Here is a 20560-nt window from a genome sequence, read left to right as displayed (position 1 = left end):
ATTTTATACTGTGCCTTCTTTTCAAAACTATTTTCATTATTAAATTAATATACAGAAAGTTTGGAAAAGATTGGAGGAGAGCTCCCATTATTCCCCCCACCCTAGTGGAACTGATGCTATCTTTTCTGGCCATGCTTCTAGTTTTCTTTCTTGTGTGCTTATCTTTTACAAAGTTGGCCTAATACATAAAAGCCAATTTGCATCACGATTCTTCACCTAGCATGATTTTCATTCTAGCCACGCCTCTTTTGTTTACAGGCAGTAGAGACTTACCCAGGCTTGTTCAGAAAAATGATGATGTCGGCAATACAAGCTCAGCACCCTGAGTTCCTGTGGGAATATCAAGGTCAAGGCTACTTCCCTCATGGTGCTGTGAGGGTGGAGAGTGCTCCCATCTCTGTTTCTTTCCGTGTGCCCGCTCCACCCCCTCTCTCAGCATTCTTCCCTAATATCTTGACAAGCGTCCGATGATGTTCCCATAAGAGTTGACTTGGCTTTATTAGCCCATTATTAATTGAAATAGTTTAGATATTCGTTCCCCCAAATCTCATGTTAAACTGTTATCCTCAGTGTTGGAGGCGGGGCCTGGTGGGAGGTGACTGATCGTGGAGGCGGGGCCTGGTGGGAGGTGACTGATCATGGAGGTGGATTTCTTATGAGTGGGAGGTGACTGATCGTGGAGGTGGATTTCTTATGAGTGGGAGGTGACTGATCGTGGAGGTGGATTTCTTATGAGTGGGAGGTGACTGATCGTGGAGGTGGATTTCTTATGAGTGGGAGGTGACTGATCATGGAGGTGGATTTCTTATGAGTGGGAGGTGACTGATCGTGGAGGTGGATTTCTTATGATTGGCTTATCACCATCCCTCCTTGGTGCTGTTTTTGCAACAGTGAGTGATTTCTTGTGAGATCCGGTTGTTTAAATCCAGAGGCACCTCCCCCTACCCTCTAGCTCCCATTCCTGCCATGTAAGACACCTGCTCCCCCTTTTTCTTACCCCATGATTGGAAGCTTTCTGAGGCCTCCCCAGAAGCTGATGCCAGCCCTATGCTTCCTGTACAGCCAGCAGAACCATGAGACAACTAAACCTCTTTTCTTACTAATTACACAGCCTCAGATATTTCTTTATAGTGATGCCGGAACAGCTTACTACACCATCTTGTTTCCAAGGGATATTAAGATGTTTCAGATTTTCCTAAAGCAAGATTTGCTCTATTGACCTATCTATCATCAATCTGTCTATATATTTATATCTATAGATATCTCTCTATATAGGTATCTGTATACACACGTACATATGCTTCTCAACTTACAGTAAAGTTACATCACAATAAATCCATTGTTAGTTGAAAATATTTTAGGTTGAAAATGCATTTGATATACCTCATCTACTAAACATCATAGCTTAGCTTTGCCTACCTTAAACATGCTCAAAACGCTTCGATTAGCCTACAGTTAGTCAAAATCATTCAGCACAAGCAAGTGTTAAATATTTTATGTAATCTATTGAATACTGTGCTGAAAGTAAAAAACATCATGGTCTCTGTAATCCCAGCACTTTGGGAGGCCAAGGTGGGTGTATGTCTGAGGCCAGGCATTTGAGACCAGCCTGGACAACATGGCGAAACCCCAAAATCCCACCTCTACTGAAAAAAAAAATTAGCCAGGCGTGGTGGCGGGTGCCTGTAATCCCAGCTACTAGGGTGGCTGAGGCAGGAGAATCACTTGAACCCAGGAGACAGAGATTGCAAGGGAGATGAGATGGCGCCACTGCACTCCAGCCTTGGCAACAAGAGTGAAACACTGTCTGCAAAAAAAAAAAAAAAAAAGAAAGAAAAGTCGGCATGGTCATGGTTATGTGCGTTGTATGCATACTATGGTAAAGTTGCAGTTTCTGACTTGTGACAGTTCAAGTTACAATGTTTTGACTTTATGATTACACCTATGCAACCACTCTGTTCTTCACCATCAGCACAGCATTCAATAAACTACGTAAAATATTCAACCCTGTTTTTATATAAAATAGGATTTGTATTAGGTGATTTTACTCACCTGTAGGCTAAGGTAAGCGTCCCGAGCACATCTAAGTTAGGCTAGGCTGATCTACGCAACTTGATGAGTTAGGGATATTGAATGCATTTTTGACTCACTGAGAGAGGGAGTTGGTGAGTTTAATGATGGGATGCCTAAGAGGGAGCCATAGACTGGCAAACTTAGTTGGATTAAAAAAACAGAAAAGGTAAGGAAATGGACCCACCACTACTAAATGATCTAGAGTATCTTGGTTGAGAAACAAAAGCAGTTTGAGAAATGAGATAAGAGTAGAAGAAGAAGACGTTGTGAGCTTAGGGAAGGGGAGTAGTGCTGGGGTTCCTCCGATGCTCCAACAAGGAGTAAAGGAATGAGATGAGGGAGCGGGGGAGGCAGAAGAGGGACGGGATGATTACAGGAGGAGGAGGGCAAGGACAGGAGAGAAAAGAGGTTGCCTGGGACAGACTTGCACGGTTGTGAGAAAGAATGTAGAGAATTGCGGCAGTAAAAATAGAAACTCCTGGGAAGCCTTATGAATGGGGCTGGGATTGTTTAGCTTCATGAATGGGAGTGACGAAAGCTTGAACAATAACGACCTGGAGCCTCCTAGGAAGGAGAAGGTTTGTGGGTCTGCTGGGAGGGTCTGGAGAAAAGCAAATATTATGTCCGCACCAAGCTGAAGGGGACACGTCTTTCACACGCTTGGAAATGGGAAAGTGGCCAGGTTGGATAAGAGTCAAGAAGGAGAATGAATTTTCAAAACCATTGAAATGTCTTGACTGGGACTTGGCAATCGGATGGAATCACTCTCTATGTTGGGAAACTCGGGTGAAAGGAAGTGATATAAGGAGAAATGAACAGTTTTGTTAAAAATGACATTTTTCTCCCTGTCATCCATCCAAATGATTCCATTGTCAGTGATATCCCTTTCCTCTGGCCTCAGACCCTCCCTTCACATTCTGTCCCCTTCCTCTGTGGCTTCTTGCAACCCAGGCATGCGTCATTTTCTGGCTGTAAATCATGCACTTTTCTCTGTATTGCTTTTGAAATGTGATGGATGAATTCTGTCATGTAATTAGTTAGAAGGGGTCCAAGTGTCACCTCTTCCTTCTTTTTGCAGATCCCTCAATTCAATGTATACAAAATATTTACCAAATAATCTGAATTGTCTGGTTCCAGACATCGTTTGATTTACAAACATTGCTTTAGTGCAGGTTAAAGTGAATGAACAACTATCTTTCTTATGTCCATAGATATCTGGATTATAATTAAATCTAATGCAGTGGCATTGTTAAGGACCCTGATCTATATATAGGGGGAAGACAAGGGACCACAGTCCTTCAGGGAATATTGCAACATGCCAATTATTTCTATCATGTGCAGGCATTATAGTGCATAAAATTCAAAATCCCAAGTAAGACGTCACCTGTGCCATCATCTCAGATGAAGACTGGAGTCGCTACTGTGGTGTGTGTCAGGGGCAGCACTGCATTCCGCCTGCCTTGAATTTTCGACAGAGGAGGCAGAGCCTAGGAAAGGTAGAAACATGGGCTTTCGATTGCCATAAGGCTCAATCAAATCCTAGCACTACCTCTGATTGCACACGGAAGGGGAAGTTATTTACTCCCTCCGAAACTCAGTTTCAGTGTTTATAATACTGAAATGCGGTAACTAATATCGACTCCATGGAGTTGGGGCAACAGTTAAGTAAGAACACATGTAAAGTGTTTAACACACTATATGGCTTATAAAAATAGCTTAATAAGTGGGAGTCATGGTGATTTCTTAGTGTAATTATAATTAAAAATAAGTGTAAAGAGGCCAGGCATGGTGGATCATACCTGTAATCCCAGCATGTTGGGAGGCCGAGGAAGGGCAGATCACTTGAGGCCAGGATTTCGAGACCAGCCTGGCCCACATGGAGAAACCCTGTCTCTACTTAAAAAAAAAAAAAAGAAAAAGAAAAGAAAGTTAGCTGGGCATGGCGGGTGGCGGGCACCTGTAATCCCAGCTACTTGGGATTACAGGAGTAGCTGGGATTATAGCTACTGGAGAGGCAGTAGAGTTGCTTGAGGCAGGAAAATTGCTTGAATCAGGAGGCAGAGGTTGCAGTGAGCTGAGATAGTGCCACTGCACTCCATCCTGGGTGACACAGCAAGGTTTCGTCTTAAAAGAAAAAAAAAAGTGTAAAGGTAATTTTCAGGGCTTTAACAGTTCTGGTAGAATGTAAATAATCATCAATAACCCATAAGGTCCTTTAGTCACAAAATGCTTCTCAGTAGCTAGGGTACCTTCTCACCGGTTCCTTTGTAGGGAGTCCATCATCACATATTTTTATCACATTTAACCTGAATGTTGCATCCCCTAAGTTACAAATTAAGTTTTATTCCTCCATGGATTTATGTCATGGGTAAGACTGATCTATAAATTTTGAGTGCCGAGTTACCTTTTGAGGGTAAATGTATCCTTCAAACCCTGCTTTTTAATGTGAGAGTACTGGTCAATCTATAGTTTGGGTTTTGAACAGAGGACTATGCAGAGACGTCTTCTGCTCTCACAGTGGAGGACACAGAGCATTTCTAAAGACACATCCCATGCAGTTCCTTCTAGAACATCTGGCTCAAATGACACATTTTAATCAACATAATTTCTTCTTTAATCCCATGGATTTTTTTATTTTTTTTTTCTTCCTTTATTATATGGCTCTAATACAATAATAAAAACCTAAGAGAAAACAAGTATCAGCTTTGAAAAGCATAAGCCCCAAATTCACTAACTTATCCAAATGTCAAATTGTTATTTTATTATACATTAATGAAATGAGCTGAATGGCAAATTAATTAGAGGAGGTGAACCAAGATATATTAAAGCTAAAGAAATTTAAGTTTATATTTTTATTGCTTTGTATTTTTAAAAAAGAAACAGTTTTCAAGCAGCTAGATATGTGGTGATAATTAAGTACAAAACTGTCATAATGTAGGCAATTAACAACAAAAACAACAACAAAACCTTCACCTTAGGAACATTTTATGTTGTTACCCTAAAATCTCAATTCCTGATAGACATTACAAAATGTCAGCACGGCCCACATTCCTGAAAGCTCTTGAAATGATGAATGCAGTATCGAGAGGAAAGCTGAGAGGGTGAAAGATCACTGCACATCCCTGCACTGGCAAGGCACCCATACAAGAGGAAATCTGTTTATCAATGCTGATTGCTCCTGCTCTGCTAAAGATGCCAAAATTCAGCAAGAGTTGCAGAGAGCTGAAAGTACACAAAACAAGTCAGTTACTTTGAAATCCTTGAGCCAGAGCTAAGCCTACCTCAGCTCACATCCTAAAAACATCCAAAATGCAATCCTCTTATGCAATCTTGGCTCTTAGAATTCCCTTTGGCAGAATGAGGAGGGCCATCTTCCGTTTGCCAGGAAAATGCACTTCAAAAGCACAGCCTACCCCGCTTTCTACTATCTTATTTCAAAGCTCTGGTGCTTATCACTTGGACCCCTGCCTAGAGAACATTGTGAATTCCCATAAAGATGCATTAACACAAGATAGAAGAATCTGCCAGTCTGAAGGCATCTGCTGTTTGTCAGCTGTCATTCCATGAGAGTTTATCTTCTGGATGTCAATGGCCAATGGCACTGGCCTCACTTCTAAACATGAGATTAAGGCTGAGATCCCAGGTCAGGGACACAAGCTGACTTCAGCCTTTTCTTGAATCTGGACTTTGCCACACCTCCACTCTGCGATAGCACACCTTCACAGCTTTTGTGAGGTCACAGCATCCACCTGGATTCGGCACACACGTTGATTTTCAAGGGCCCATCACAACTTGCAATTCTGCATAGGTGTTTTCTCTAAATGGTAATAATAACGCATGAATTATTATACTATTGCTGCTTGACAGCCCTTTTCCTGTGTGTAGTGGTTTTGGATTATGGCCCACAAAGGCCATCAATTATGCTAGAAAACTAAGGAGCTGGGGGAAAATCACAGGGCAAAATGCATTTTGAGAGACATCATTGTCTAGACTCAAATGTCAGCCTTGGCACCCTCTTCTCAGCCTGGCCTAGATCCACTGTTGGGCAAGTTGATTCTAAAAGGTCCATTTCATTCCCCTCCATGCAAAGCAATGGTAAACAATCAAGTATGTCAAAAATGTTGTTGAGAGTGCATGTTTCTTTGGGAGTGATTACATCTTAGCCGTAGCTCATGAGACTCAGGTCTGGATGGAAAAACTTTTCCAGTGGAGGATTTACAGAGAACAATATAAACATAGATGACAAAGCAAAACAACAAGACAGTTATCTCACCTTACAAATTACATACATCATGGCTAGGCACAGAGGCTCATGCCTGTAATCCCTGTAACTTGGGAGGCCAAGGTGGATGGATGACTTGAGCCCAGGAGTTCGAGACCAGCGTGGACAACATAACGAAACCCCATCTCTACAAAAAATACAAAATTAACCTGGCATGGTGGCTCATGCCTGTAGTTGCAGCTATTCAGGAGGCTGAGATGGGAGGATCACCTAAGCCCAGGAGGTCAAGGCTGCAGTGAGTCGTGATCACGTCACCGCACTACAGCTTGGGGGACAGAATGAGACCCTGTTACACACATACACACACAAATTACAAATTACATACATTAAAAAATGCCTTGTATGTATCTCTATGAATTGAGATTTTGAGAGAATTTGTTTTCTTCTGTACATTTCTCTATATTTTCTAAGTTTTCTATAATAAATAAGCAGTACCTTGGAAATTCTTGTTCTGACTTTTCTTAAACAAAAGATATGTTGAAAGATTTCACCCAAGTGCGAGCTTTAGTTGAAATATAGAATCTGAAATAAAAATTAGAAACATGGTTTCATAACAACTCACTTTAACCTATTTTCTAGAAACAGAATGAGGAATCTATTAAAAATTTTAAAATGAAATTTCAAATTCATACCAGATGTTTTCAAAGTAATAAAATACTACTCTTAAATATCATCTTTCTAGTCTTAATTTTTTGGATGTTTTATTTTTAAAGCCAGAGCTTTTTTTTTTTTTTTCTGTGTAAGTGGGATTGGAATGCTGTTCATCACAAGAAAACTCAAATTTTTTAGATCTTAAAGATAGAGGTTGCACTGTGTGACTTCCTTAATTACACATTAGGAAGTGGAGGACCAGAGAGCAGCAGTGATCTGAGGTCACTTCATAAGCAAGGCAGGGCCACAGCTCGAGTGGGCTTGCTCCCTCTCCACACTCTTGGCCTGGGTTTTGCTGCGATTCTGGCCAAATCTCTAGACTGCCTTCTATGTAGCAGTCACTGGCTAGATCCTAAAGGCTTTGACACAAAACAGGATTGGAAGTCGTCATGAGGTCATTAGTTGCCTCTCCCACGGCATGAGGGAGGAGACCGCTTTGACTTATCCACACAGCCACTGATTTGCAGGGAGACTCACACAGACAACACTATACACCCACCAACACAAACACACTCACCACACACACTGCAAGGGTTTACTACTAACTCCAAACACATGTATTTGGAAAACTAAAATACATACAAAGTTTCCAGAGTTCTACTTCTAACTAGAGGGGTATCTGCTCCTGAGGTTGTGGGGAGTATGGGAACATCCCTTAAATGATGGTTCTCACTTAAAAGGATCAGATAAAGTCCACTGAGAGCACTCCTTTTTTTTTTTCTTCTTTTTCAGATGGAGTTTCACTCTTGTTGCCCAGGCTGGAGTGCAGTGGTGCAATCTCGGCTCACTGCAACCTCCGCCTCCCGGGTTCAAGTGATCCTCCTACCTCAGCCTCCCAAGTAGCTGGGATTACAGGCATGCATACCTGGCTAATTTTGTGTTTTTAGTAGAGACAGGGTTTCACTATGTTGGTCAGGCTGGTCTCGAACTCCTGGCCTCAGGTGATCCACCCATCTCAGCCTCCTAGTTCTGGGATTACAGGCCTAAGCCACTGTGATATAATCCCTGCCTCTTTTCTTTCCAGTCAGAAAGGTGGTGTTGCAGATATAGTGGAAAAAGTAAGGATTTGGAAACCTAAGGGTGACAATATAATACATAAACCTCACTTCATTCAAAAGAATGTTTGCTCTTGAGCATGTCACTAATCTCTCTGAATTCATATTTCTGTAAAATGAGGACATTACATTTCTCCCTGCTCTATCATAAAAATTATACATGCTAGATATATATAGCCTATTATGGGTTGAACTGTGTCCTCCCCAAATTCCTGGGTTGAAGGAGGTCATCAGGACCTCACAAAGTGACTGTATTTGGAGATACCGTCTTTAAAGAGGTAATTAAGGTAAAATCAGGGCGATGGGGTGGGCCTTAATGCAACATGGCTGGTATCCTAGTAAGAAGAAGAGATCAGGATATCAGACACACGTGGAGGGAAGATGACCCGAAGATATAGGGAGAGTATGGCTGTCTGTAAGCCAAGGAGAGAGGCCTCAGGAGGACACAACCCTGCCGACACCTCGATCTCAGACTTCCAGCTTCTAGCATTGTCAGGAAATAGATTTCTGTTGTTTCAGTCGCCCAATCTCTGGTGCCTTGTTACAACAGCCTAGCAAACAGATGCACAGATGTTCACAGAATAAGTGCTCAACAAATCACAGAGGCTATGTTCACCATGATTATTACAGCTTTTCATTGGTAGCGAAGAATGTTGGCTCTGAACTGTACATTAGTGACCAAAGATGAGAGATTTTTGTAATTCAAATTGCAACTCACTTTATTCACTTCCTGTTTACTCCATCCTTGCAAAGAGTGTCACATTTAAGTTTCCTGTTTTTACAAAAATTGTATTATTATTATCCACAAAGTATTTTTCTTTAAATTTTTTTTGTACAGAGGAAGAAAATAAAATTGTACCAGGAAATGAAAATCAACCATAAATTATATAAGAATCTGCACCAACAGCTAGAAAATTAATTATATCATAAAATCCTACCCTCACCATATGAGCTATTGAGGTCTAGTAAATCATTTCACACTAAAGGACTTCAGCCTCCTCGTCTCTAAATTATGGAATTAGGTCGAGTCTCTAAAATTTCCTTCATCTCTGATTCTGAGGCTTGGTATTTAAGACCTCACTTAAAGTAGCAAAACAAGAACATCCACTGATATTCCGGTACTCCAGCAGTGACATACTGGATGACTGTCAGCTATAGCCATTGTCTGGAGAGGAAGTTCAAAGACTGAATAAGAAGTTAAACATTGGAGATCGGGACCAGCCTGGCCAACATGGTAAAACCTCGTCTCTACTAAAAATTAACCAGGCATGGTGGTGGGCCCCTGTAATCCCAGCTACTTGGGAGGCTGAGGCAGGAGAATCACTTGAATCTAGGAAGCAGAGGTTGCAGTGAGCCGATATCGCACCACTAAACAGCCTGAGTGATAGAGTGAGACTCCATCTCAAAAGAAAAAAAAAAAAAGAGTTAAACATGGAAGAATGGATGCTGACCAAGTGAAAAACATCTTTCTATTTTATCTTATGGAGTTCAAGTTTGGTAAGAAAAAAAAAATGTGTTAATTAGCGACCAATTTCTGAACGAAAAAAATATATACCATCATGCATTGCTTGACAACAGAGATAGGAGAGATGAGTTCTGCAAAATGTGTCATTAGGTGATTTCATTGCTGTGGGAACACCATAGAAGGAGCCTACAACAGCCTTACCTGGGCTCTTGTCCCTGGCTACAAACCTGCACAGCATGCAACTGTAGTGAATACAGCAGGCAACTGTCACTCAATGGTGAGGATGTGTGTGTCTAAACATATCTAGACATAGAAAAGGTACAGTAAAAATACAGTATTAGAATCATATGGAACCACTCTTGTATATGCCGTCCCTCTTGGACTCAAACTGTGCTATGTGGTACAGTACTGCACGTACACGTACATAATACACTTTCTACAGCTGTGCTCAGACCCTGTTCAAGGTCTCGGACATGATTTTACTGATCATCACATTTTTATACAGAAAGATGGCTTCTCTTTTAGAAAACATTATTGCCAACCAAAAAACTTTCCCCAGTTAAAGACATATAATATATATGTAAATGTATATATTTATACATACACATGTGGTTCTATGCATACATGTAATATATGATATATTAAGGCCGATATTATGGACATTATAGATAGCATCGTATATATATATATATATATATATATATATATATATATATACACACACACGTATATGCAATTTAAGTTTAGAGTTAAATAAATCTGAGTTAAAATTGAGGTTCTGCTATGTAATATGTACATGCCATGAGACAATTAGTTTCCACTTATTCTCATCTGTAAAATTATAATACTGCTTAATGAAAATATCTCTGTGAAAAATAAATATGGGTGTGAAGTGTTTAGTGTGTGTCACATAATATACATTCAATTATAGTTAAATGTTAATTATTATTATTGTTGTGTTATCACTGTTTCTTCATCTTTTGGATAAATAATTCCAATATCTGTGAATTGGGGATAATCGATTACTCCAGGATAGAAATGAAGAATCTTTGTAAGCAGCCAGCCCAGTGCCAGGCAAATAGTGAGTCCTGCCTAGATACACTTTCCCCTTAGTCCTTCTCCTCATTAGAGGAAGGGGAGTCTCCTAAATAGGTCAAGGAAGGGGAACACACCTGCCTGTTCCTCCAAAAGCCTCCAACTGCTCAGCTCTGTCTCCAGGCCCCTGGGTGTCTTTTGCTGGGTGCAGCCTGCATCAAGGTGGCCACAGCTTCTGCCCTGGGGCAGGTGTTTTAATCAGAAGGGAGCTCCAGCTTCTTTCTCATTTTAGGAGTCCCTTCCCTTCCCTTCCCTTCTGTCCCCTCCCCTCCCCTCCCCCCACCTTTCCTTTCCTTTTCCTCTTTCTTTCTCTTTCTTTCTTTCTTTCTTTCTTTCTTTCTTTCTTTCTTTCTTTCTTTCTTTCTTTCTTTCTTTTTTTCTTTCTTTTTCTTTCTTTCTTTCTTCTCTCTCTTTCTATTTCTCTATTTCTTTCTTGCTCTCTTTTTTCTTTCTTTCTATTTCTCTGTTTCTCTCTTTCTTTCTCTCTCTCTTTCTCTCTCTCTTTTTCTTTCCTTCTTTTTTGAGACAGAGTCTTGCTCTGTTGCCCAGGCTGGGGTGCAGTAGTACAATCTCGGCTCACTGCAACCTCCACCTTCCAGGTTCAGGCGATTCTCCCACCTGAGCCTTCTGAGTAGCTGGAAGTACAGGCATGCACAATCACGCCAGCTAATTTTTTTTTTTTAATTTTTAGTAGGGATGGGATTTCATCATGTTAGCCAGGCTGGTCTCAAACTCCTGACCTCAAGTGATCCACTTGCCATGGCCTCCGAAAATACCGGGGTTACAGGCAAGAGCCACTGTGCCTGGCCAGGAGCTCATTTTTCTTACCAATTCTACTTGAATATTTACATGGATGCTTTTCCTAATTTGCCAGTAAGATCTGTATAATACTGGAGAGTGAAAGATTCTTTCTCTTCCAATGTTTGTTCTACAAGTTGCCCTGCAACCGATTATCTCAGAAACACTTGATTTTTCTTTCTCTTTTTCTCTTATTGTCTGTCTGTCTCTCTCTCTCTCTCTTCCTCTCTCTCTCTCCCCCCGTCTTTCTCCAACATTCCTACCACCCCTACTTCTGTTTTGGTGATGGAGTGGCTTTATATACCTGCGCTGCCCAACACACTAACAACTAACCACCGATGGCTATTGAAAACAATTTTTTAAAGATTTTAAAGTTTTACTGTCTCGGTCACATTTTTCTCATTTCTAGTGTCCCAGAGACATATGTGGCAAGTGGCTCCCATATGGGAAAGCACAGATAGGGAAAATTTCCATTCACGCAGAAAGTTCTATCTGACCACCCTCTCCCAGCCTGTTTGGGCCGTTAGGTAGGAATAGAGCTTGGAGGCTGAGGATTAAGTGAGGAAGTTGCTATTGTCGCATGCAAGCAGCTGGCATTGCCGCCTGTGCCATGAGGCTTGCCTCTCGGACTCCAGCCAGAGTGCCTCTGTTCAGTAGTTTTAACAGTCGTATCTGTCTGGGTTAGACTGCAATCATTCCAAATTCAGTTTAAGTCAGCTTTGAGATACGTACACCAAAACACTCGATATAAGCCAGAGTTAGATTAATGGAAATATGGAAGCAGAACAAGACAGGAGATGTCTGGGCCACTGAGTGCCACTCAGACAGCCAACCAAAGATCATGTTCATTTCTGAGCAGACAATCGAATCAGAACCCTGGCTCTGGGACCTGTTCAGAGAAAAACAGAACTAAAGAGAGGACAAGGGAGTGTATGGCACAAGATGACTAAAGAAAGTCTAAGTCTTTGATCTCAGAAAGAGAAGTTTAGAGGCACCTGATACCTAACTTCAGATAGCCAGCAATTTGCCATGACAACGATGAACCCTGCTTGTTCTGGGGCCACAAAACAGAACTGGGAGGAATAGCTCAGGCTGTGCACAAATAGATTTTCTGGCTAATACAAGGAAGGACCTTCTATAATGGCCAGTATTCTCTGAAAATAAAATTGAACTTCTCAGGGAGGTTTCAGCTTCTTTTGAAGAATTCTTCAGGATGGAGAGTCAATGGTTAAGACGCTTGAAGGTGGGAGTTGAGCCTCAGACTTATCTGGATTAAGAGTAAGGACTGTCGGCAGGGTGTGGTGGCTCATGTCTGTAATCCCAGCATTCTGGGAGGCCAAGGCGTCAGATCACTTGGGGTCAGGAGTTCGAGACCAGCCTGGCCAATATGATGAAACCCTGTCTCTACCAAAAATACAAAAATTATCTGGGTTTGATGGCAAGTGCCTCTAATCCCAGCTACTCAGGAGGCTGAGGCAGGAGAATCACTTGAACCCAGGAGGAGGAGGTTGCAGTGAGCTGAGATCATGCCACTGCACTCCAGACTGGGTGACAGAGGGAGACTCCATCTCAAAATAAATAAATAAATAAATACATAAGAGTCAGGACTGTCACATCCCTTTCAGGTCTGTGTTTCCTATGCCTGCATCTTCTGGAAAAGCTCTCACTATATCTAAGCACTAAACAAATTCATGTCTCTGAAAGAGTCCATCCAAAGTTTGAACCCCAATGCCGTTCAACACCTAATGGTATAAACAGGTATGTGTTCAACACACAAAATCTCCAAGGAACTAGTGTTATCTCAATAACTCACAGGGATCTCAAGAAATGACTGCCAGTAAAGATCATCCTTTCAGAGAACTTGTATTTGTGAGAGCATTTTCTTCTTAGGTCATCCTAACTAAAAGGAACGGAAGGGAAAGGAGGGGCGGGTGTCTTAGTTTTCTGGGGCTGCTTTCATGTAGTACCACAAACTGAATGTCTTAGAAGAACCGAAGTTTATTGTCTCACAGTTCCGGAGGCTGGAAGTCCAAGATCAAGGTGTCAGCAGGGTTGGCTCTTCCCGAGGGTGTGCAGGAGAATCTGTTCATAGCTCTCTCCTGGCTTCTCATGGTTTGTTGATGATCTGTTTCATTCCTTGGCCTGGGGAAGCATCACTCTGAACTCTGCCTGTTCCCTGTGGGTGTGTGCATGTCTGTCTCTGTGTCTGAATTTGCCCTTTTTCTAAGGACGTCAGTCATATTGGATTAGGGCTCACCTTCACGACCTCTTTATTTCATTTTATTTGCAACAGGTTCTTGCTCTGCTGCCCAGGCTGGAGTGCAGTGGTACATTATCAGCTCACTGCAACCTCTGCCTCCCCGGCTCAAGCATCCTGACCTCTTTTAATTTGATTACCTCTGTGAAGACCCAATCTCCAAATAAAATCACATTCTGAGGTATTGGGGGTTAGGACTCCAATATATGTTTTTTTTTTGCGGGGGCAGGGGGACAAAATTTAATGTATAACAACAGGAAAGTGAAACAGTCTTACTATATACCCAGAGAAAACCACAAGAAAATAAACAGAAAGTAACCTAACTGTTAGCTTTCTATAATGGAAAATCGAATCAAATAATTTCCTCACTTAAAACACTTCAGTTGCTTGTCATTGCCCTGGGAATCAAGTTCAAATGCCTTCCCTTGCCTCCGGGCGCCTGGCTCTCCATGGCCTGGTTCCTTTTTACCTCTCTATCTGTATCTTCATGCGTTCCCCTCTGCACACTCAGCTCTGGCCTTGCTCACTGTCTGGGTTTCTGGAATGTGCCTTGACTTGCCAGCTTCAGCACTGGGAACACTGGTGTGCCTCTGCCGGGAGCATTTCTTTCCCACCCTGTCTGCACCTGAAACATCCTATCCTTTTGGGTGCAGCTTACAATTTTCTTACCTACCCATAGACTGGGCCAAGCACCTCCACAGGGAGCAATCACAGCCCTGAGTATCCAAAGGGTGAGACGAAGCTCCACCCTAAGCCTGTGCCTTATATCCCCAACCTGAAACAACCCCATGTGCACTAAGTGGTCATGAGATCAGCAAACTGGGACAAACACTCACCGGAACAAGCCAGCAGTGAAGACAAGCCACATGCACAGGCAGCCACCCTGATGAATCTCAAGCTCACTATGTTAAATCAAAGGAGTCATACGTAAAGTGCACATGGTGTGATTCTGTTGATATGAAATACAAATGCAGGCACAGGCAGTGTTTGAAGAGTCCATGAAGGAACTTTCTAAGAAAATGAAAAAGTCCCTTATCTCATTCTGGGCTTTGCTAACATGAATATATACAATTGTTCAAAGTCATCTAATTGGACACTTCAGAGAAAAACAATTTAATATTGACTTTTTACTGCACTATCTTTCTCTAAGCATCTCTCCCCAACCTGATAAGGCATTTGCTCTCAGCAGAGGCCTATAGAAGTCATCCATGCCTCCAGTTTTTAAAAGCAGCTTTTCTTGCCATGTGTTGTTCTAAGCTGCCCCTCTGGGTGTGACTTCTGGCGGCAGCTTCTGGACTGACACATTCATCCAGGCTTCCAAAGCTGGGCTGCAATGGCCTCAAGTGATGCCTCTGTTGCCTGCTGAGTAACCAGGCTTGTCCTCACCAGACCTTTAGAAAACACTGGATCTCAACTCCATTTATGGGAATTATTCCACTTCCTGTTAGATTGCATTTGGGAAATAATTTGGAGTGCCACCTCCCAGTGGTGTTTTTTATTCCTTCTGACTAAGCTTCTCTCTGGATTCTTGGTGAATGCTCAATATCTTCAAGGAAGGAAGGAAAATGATAGATAGAGGAATGATAGATGAATGCACACATAGAAGCAAAAGCTCCAGTCCCTCTCAATATGTTCTTCCCTCCATTCCTCAGCAAAGCACCATGATTCATGAGCATAAAAGGCCCTAGGAAGAATGTTTATGTTGCATCGTGTCATACATGATATTACATGGTTTCCCAAAGCACTATCAGAAAACTGTATAGACTAAACAGATACTGACAATAAATGGATGTCGTACAGACAACATAGAACTCTCGCCATTTTAGGTACTCAATGGGAGGGTTTAAATGGGCCTTTAAAAATCTTCAGAACACCAAGATTTAAAGAACGACTGTGACACTTAAGCTGTTCAGCCCATTGTCCTACCTTTAGGAAGTGGATATGTTTCCTCTAGAGTCTTTCACTATCATATTTAAAGAAAAGAAAGAAGGGGCTGCAATAAACACCATACATTATTTACCAAAAAAAAATTCTGGGAAAGGTTGTTATAATGACTCTATATCCTTGCATAATTTCTCACGTGAATCAGTCAGGGGCCCAATCCATTAGAATGTTAAAGGGATTCAAAGAGAGGAAACATCAGGTAAGGTAAGATATATAATCACACCTTTTTTTCGGTGGTAAGTAATAGAAATCTAACTCAAGCAAGCTTAAATAAAAGCTTAAAGAAGTAAAAGCTATGGTTCTAATAAAGGAGTTAAATCTGACATTCAATAGGACAAAGGAATCTTTCTAACCTACATATTTTTATGTGGTCTTTGTGATAAGAACAAAGCATGTCTGGGGAGCTACAAAGGTACAATTATTACTTAATAGGTCATCTAGAAAGAGCTAGAGGTAAAACAAAAAGGCTTTTGGTAAAGCAAATGAAATAATCTGTCAGTGATGGGTCAGTATCGGTCACCCACTGGTCTCTGCTGGGGCAGACCCATGCTTCCAGATGCAGTGTTGGAGAAGATTTCACCGCACGATGTGAGTCAGTGCAAGCCTAAGGGTCAGTGCCCGAGAACATGCCCAGGGATGCAGAGAGAAGCCAAGAGTAGACCAAGTTCACATCCCAGAAAGAGCATTCCTGTGATGGAGGGGCAACTGCATTGTGAATTATGATCAGTATTCTCGATGCTAAGATGAAACTGTTCTTCTTTCTACAACTTTATTTCAACCATATCTGTCATTGCCAAGAATATTTGATGACTTATCCCCTTGGGCAGTTTCAAATGGCACAGGGGAAATGGGAGAGATTCCATTTCTATTTCTCTTTCTGCCTCCCTTTCGTGGGCTAAGCCCAGAACCCTCCTGGGCTAAGCCCCAGCTTTGGGGCTGGCCTGTCCTGCATCAGTTGAATGCCTGTTTATTTTCCAAATATTCCTGATTTTTTGGGTTGGTCATGGTGGAGGGTGGGATGATTGGGGAAAAAAAAACACAACTTTTTTTTTTTTTTTTGAGACAGAGTCTCACTCTGTCACCCAGACTGGAGTGCGGTGGTGCAACCTCAGCTCGCTACAACCTCCACCTTTCATGTTCAAGACATTTTCCTGTCTCAGCCTCCCAAGTAGCTGGGATTACAGGCATGTGCCACCACACCCAGATAATTTTTGTATTTTTGACAGAGTTGGAGTTTCACCATGTTGGCCAGGCTGGTCTTGAACTCCTGAGCTCAAGTGATCTGCCCACCTTGGCTTCCCAAAGTGCCGAGATTACAGGCGTGAGCCACTGCATCCAGCTGAAAATCCTTTCAAAAATGATAAACAATTGAAAACTTTGACAAAGTTTTAAAATATAAAATTAAAACTCCAAAAATGGTGTCTTTTTTTTTTTTTTTTGGAGGTGGAGTCTCACTCTGTCACCTAGGCTGGAGTGCAGTGGCACGATCTCATCTCACTGCAACCTCCACCTCCTGGGTGCAAGCAATTCTCTTGCCTCAGCCTCCCAAGTAGCTGGGATTACAGGCATGCACCATCATGCTCAGCTAATTTTTGTATTTTTAGTAGAGATGGGGTTTCGCCATGCTGGCCAGGCTGGTCTTGAACTTCTGACATCAAGTGATCTGCCCACCTTGGCCTCCCAAAGTGCTGGGATTACAGGGGTAAGCCACTGTGCCCGGCCAAAAATGGTTTCTTTACAGTCAGGTTTCTATAAAAAGCTAAGAAATTGTATTGTCAAATTTTACATCTCATGAACAGATCCATATGTTGTGTGTTTCATAGAAGGCATGATAAAAGACAACACCTCAGCTTTTAGAAATTCAGACATGGTGATAATAAAACATGAATGGAAGGTTTTCCCGTTTTGTTTTCCACTATGCTTTGAAGAGCACTGGAGCACATCGCGAATGTGAATGGCTGCCCAGCGTTCCCTGTAGCAGCTCTATCAGGGCAGGAAACGCAAAATAATTCAAAGAAGCTTGAAGTTTCCCTGCCATACATCCAAACACACACACAAACACAGCAAACGTGGAAGGAATCTCTACAGAAGAATGCGGGAAAAGAAATGCAAGCCTCTGGAATTCCTCCACAGGATGCTTTCATATTTTTAGATGTCTACTGAAACCTTTAAGATTATCCAATGCAGACCACCAGAAACCATGCGCAGAAAAACATCAGAAATGCCCCTGTGGATGTTTTCTGTCATGCTTCTGATCTTATGCAGTCTTTTTGCAGTTAGAGAAAGAGGGCAGAAGAAGACTTGATCATGGAGCTTCCTGTGGGTCATTAAAGTCTGTTGAGAATGGTGAAGGGCTGGCTGTGATTAGAACCTTCCACCCTAGGACTTAAGATAAGGCAGTGGGCGTCTGCGTGGCTCAGCACATAGGTGGGTGAGGCAGTGGGTGGCTGCATGGCTTAGTACATAGGTGGGCTTGGCTGCGGCAGATGCTTCTCTTGGCCTTGCTCTAGAGCTGTGCTGAAAGCTGGTGGAGGTGGGTCTGGTTTACTCTTACTAGAGCCCATGTTTACAATGGAGGGTTTTAGTAATTTGGCCTTTTGAAAGCTGTAAAAAATCATCTCATGGAACCCAAACAAGGCTGATGGAAGAGACTTTTGGGCTGTCTTCAAAAATATCTGCCAGCCCCTGTGTCTGTGCTGAGAACACAGAGGTGTTCCCTGGAGGAGCCCCGTGGCTGCCTCACTTGGCCACTGGAACCATGCAGCTGTTGGTCCTCCAGTTAAAGTGCTCAAGTCCAAATCTACTTTACCTCAATGTTGGGTAAATTAAAAGGTAAAAATGTTTGTAAATGAACTCAAATAAGTGGAGAACAGAATGTGTTTTCCAAGGAGAGTTTGTTTTACTGGGTAGGTTTTCCTATCCTAAAATGTCAGAGCATCTACAGAGGACACAGTGGTTCCACTTAGTGATATTTGATTATAAGTGCTTTATGATTTTAAGTTGCTTCACTGTTGCAACATATATGCCATCAAAAGTTTTTACTCACAAATCATTTTCTTTAATTGATAAAAAAGTTAAGATAGTTCTCCATGGAATACAGGAGATATGTTTAGCTACGAGAGGAAAACTCAATGGATGTTTTCCCACATTTACTACTTAGGACTTTGGATGAGTTCCAGGGTCTGAAAACTTACAAGTTAGAAGCAATCATTCTTTAAGGAAGTTTATTTTGGGAAATGTGCATAAAGTCTCAAACTCTGAGTCCTGGTTATCAGCATACTTTGTCCTATGATGAGTATATTTCAGAATCCTTATTTATCCTAGTTTTTTCATTGATAATTGCTACTCTTGCCTTTAAAAAGTGATTGAGGAAGCTATCAATGCAAGTTAAAGGTCATCAAGAATTAAAACAAAAATCATAAAATGAAGGGAAAAGATAGTTGTTACACTAAAAATAACTTTTTAAGAACACTGACAGACACCACTCATTGAGCATATATGACAGGTTAGACACAGCGACAGGCTCTCTTGCGTGTTCTTTTAAATCACTGCAACCACAGTAAAGAGGCATAGTTATCCTCGTGTCAGGGGATGAGAATATGATGCTTTTAAGGAGAAGCAAAAGGATGTGAAGAAACAAAGGAATGAGCCACAGGAAAATCTGGAAGAAGAACATTCTTGGCTGAGAGACCAGTCCTGGAAAAGGCCCTGAAGTGACCAATTTTTGCCATCATTGAGAACATCAAGAAACCAGTGTGGCTGAGTTGAGGGAAGGAAAGAGAATGTAGGAGAACAAGCCTGAGATGCCTGAACAGGCTCTGGCATTTCCTGTGTTGAGACAGGAAGAGATTGCAGAGGTTAAGCCTAGTGGCATGATGGAACTCTAGTTGCTTACTCTGGATGCTGTGTGGAGGATGCCTGTGGTGGAGCAGTGTCGGGAGGGAAAGAAAGTGGGAAGGCAGTCAAGGGCCACTGCAACAGTCCAGAGGGCAAGTAATGCCTGCATGAACCCAGCAAAGCAGCCGTGCAAGCGGAGACATGCCATGGATTCTGAGTCTCTTTTCATAGCTAGAGCTACTGGGAGGGAGATAACTCAGAGGTGTGAGGAGAGGAATCAAAGCTAGCCTCCTGTTCTTTGGTCTTTGGAACAGGAAGGAGAGACTTGTCTGTTCGTGAGATGGAGACGACAGTGGAAAGAGCCAGTCTGGTAACACTGGGAATCTATCTTTGGATGTCACATGTGTGAGATGCTGATTATGTGACCAAGGCAATGGCAAGCAGGTGATGAAGGGCACAAGCCTGGAGATCAGGGTTAGGGTTAGTGCTAGGGTTAGGGTTAGGGTTAGGGTTAGGGCTAAAGTCAGGGCTATGGTTAGGTTGCTAGGGTTAGCATTTGGGGTAAGTTTAGGGTTAGGGTTAGGGTTAAGGTTAGGATTAGAATTAAGGATAGGGTTAGTGTGAAGGTTAAAGCTGCAGAGGTAAACCTGGAGTCTAAACCTGAGAAGCCAACTCTACTCAATGTAAAGGGGCTAGATCTGACCTGAAAGAGAGCAAGTTTTAAGGACTAGGCTCAAGCATTTTTGTGAGTTGTGTAGGAATTAGTGATCTGAAGATGTAGCCTCTTAGGTGACATGAGTCTGTGCAAGAGAGCATGCTTTGTGCATGGCACTGAAGTGAAGCATCTTCACACATAAGCAGTGAATGCCTGGGCTGAATTCCACTGGCAGTTCAGAGCTGAGGATAATGGGGACCTGATGTTTTGATTTATCAGCGTGAGTGCTACAGGTTGACTTACCCAGTCGCTTTGAGGGTATGTCCTGAGGGCAAAAAGTCTGATTTGGGAGGTTTCAAAAAGAGGAACTACAGATCGCAAGGATAGAAGATGGGACCATGAAGAAATAATGCAGGTAAGCAGTCGTTAGTCTGAAAACTGAGAAGGA

At 42.1% G+C, this 20560-nt stretch overlaps 1 long non-coding RNA gene across 1 annotated transcript in view, besides 1 other annotated feature; it reads right to left on the bottom strand.

The window, feature by feature from the left end:
* Positions 1 to 4915: 4915 nt before the first annotated feature.
* LOC107984195 (uncharacterized) overlaps positions 4916 to 20560 on the bottom strand; it is a 59329-nt gene continuing 43684 nt past the window's right edge. Inside the window, exons 5-10 of the long non-coding RNA NR_176060.1 lie at positions 9728 to 9829; positions 8780 to 8833; positions 6791 to 6877; positions 6347 to 6482; positions 5791 to 5890; positions 4916 to 5295 (exon numbers count right to left, since the gene is read on the bottom strand). This is a non-coding gene — a long non-coding RNA (uncharacterized LOC107984195). The remainder of the gene's footprint in view (positions 5296 to 5790; positions 5891 to 6346; positions 6483 to 6790; positions 6878 to 8779; positions 8834 to 9727; positions 9830 to 20560) is intronic.
* Positions 5236 to 5748: an enhancer, noted in NCBI's record as "NANOG hESC enhancer chr10:4125610-4126122 (GRCh37/hg19 assembly coordinates)". NCBI's record gives its function as "activates a minimal SCP1, AML or CMV promoter by ChIP-STARR-seq in naive and primed H9 embryonic stem cells {active_cell/tissue: H9 hESC(naive and primed)}" and the evidence as "EXISTENCE:reporter gene assay evidence [ECO:0000049][PMID:30033119]".

This window comes from Homo sapiens, chromosome 10 (assembly GCF_000001405.40).
Source record: "Homo sapiens chromosome 10, GRCh38.p14 Primary Assembly".
Classification (NCBI taxonomy): Eukaryota; Metazoa; Chordata; class Mammalia; order Primates; family Hominidae; genus Homo; species Homo sapiens.
Note: the sequence above shows the minus strand (reverse complement) of the source record. Positions and strands in the feature narration are given on the sequence as shown.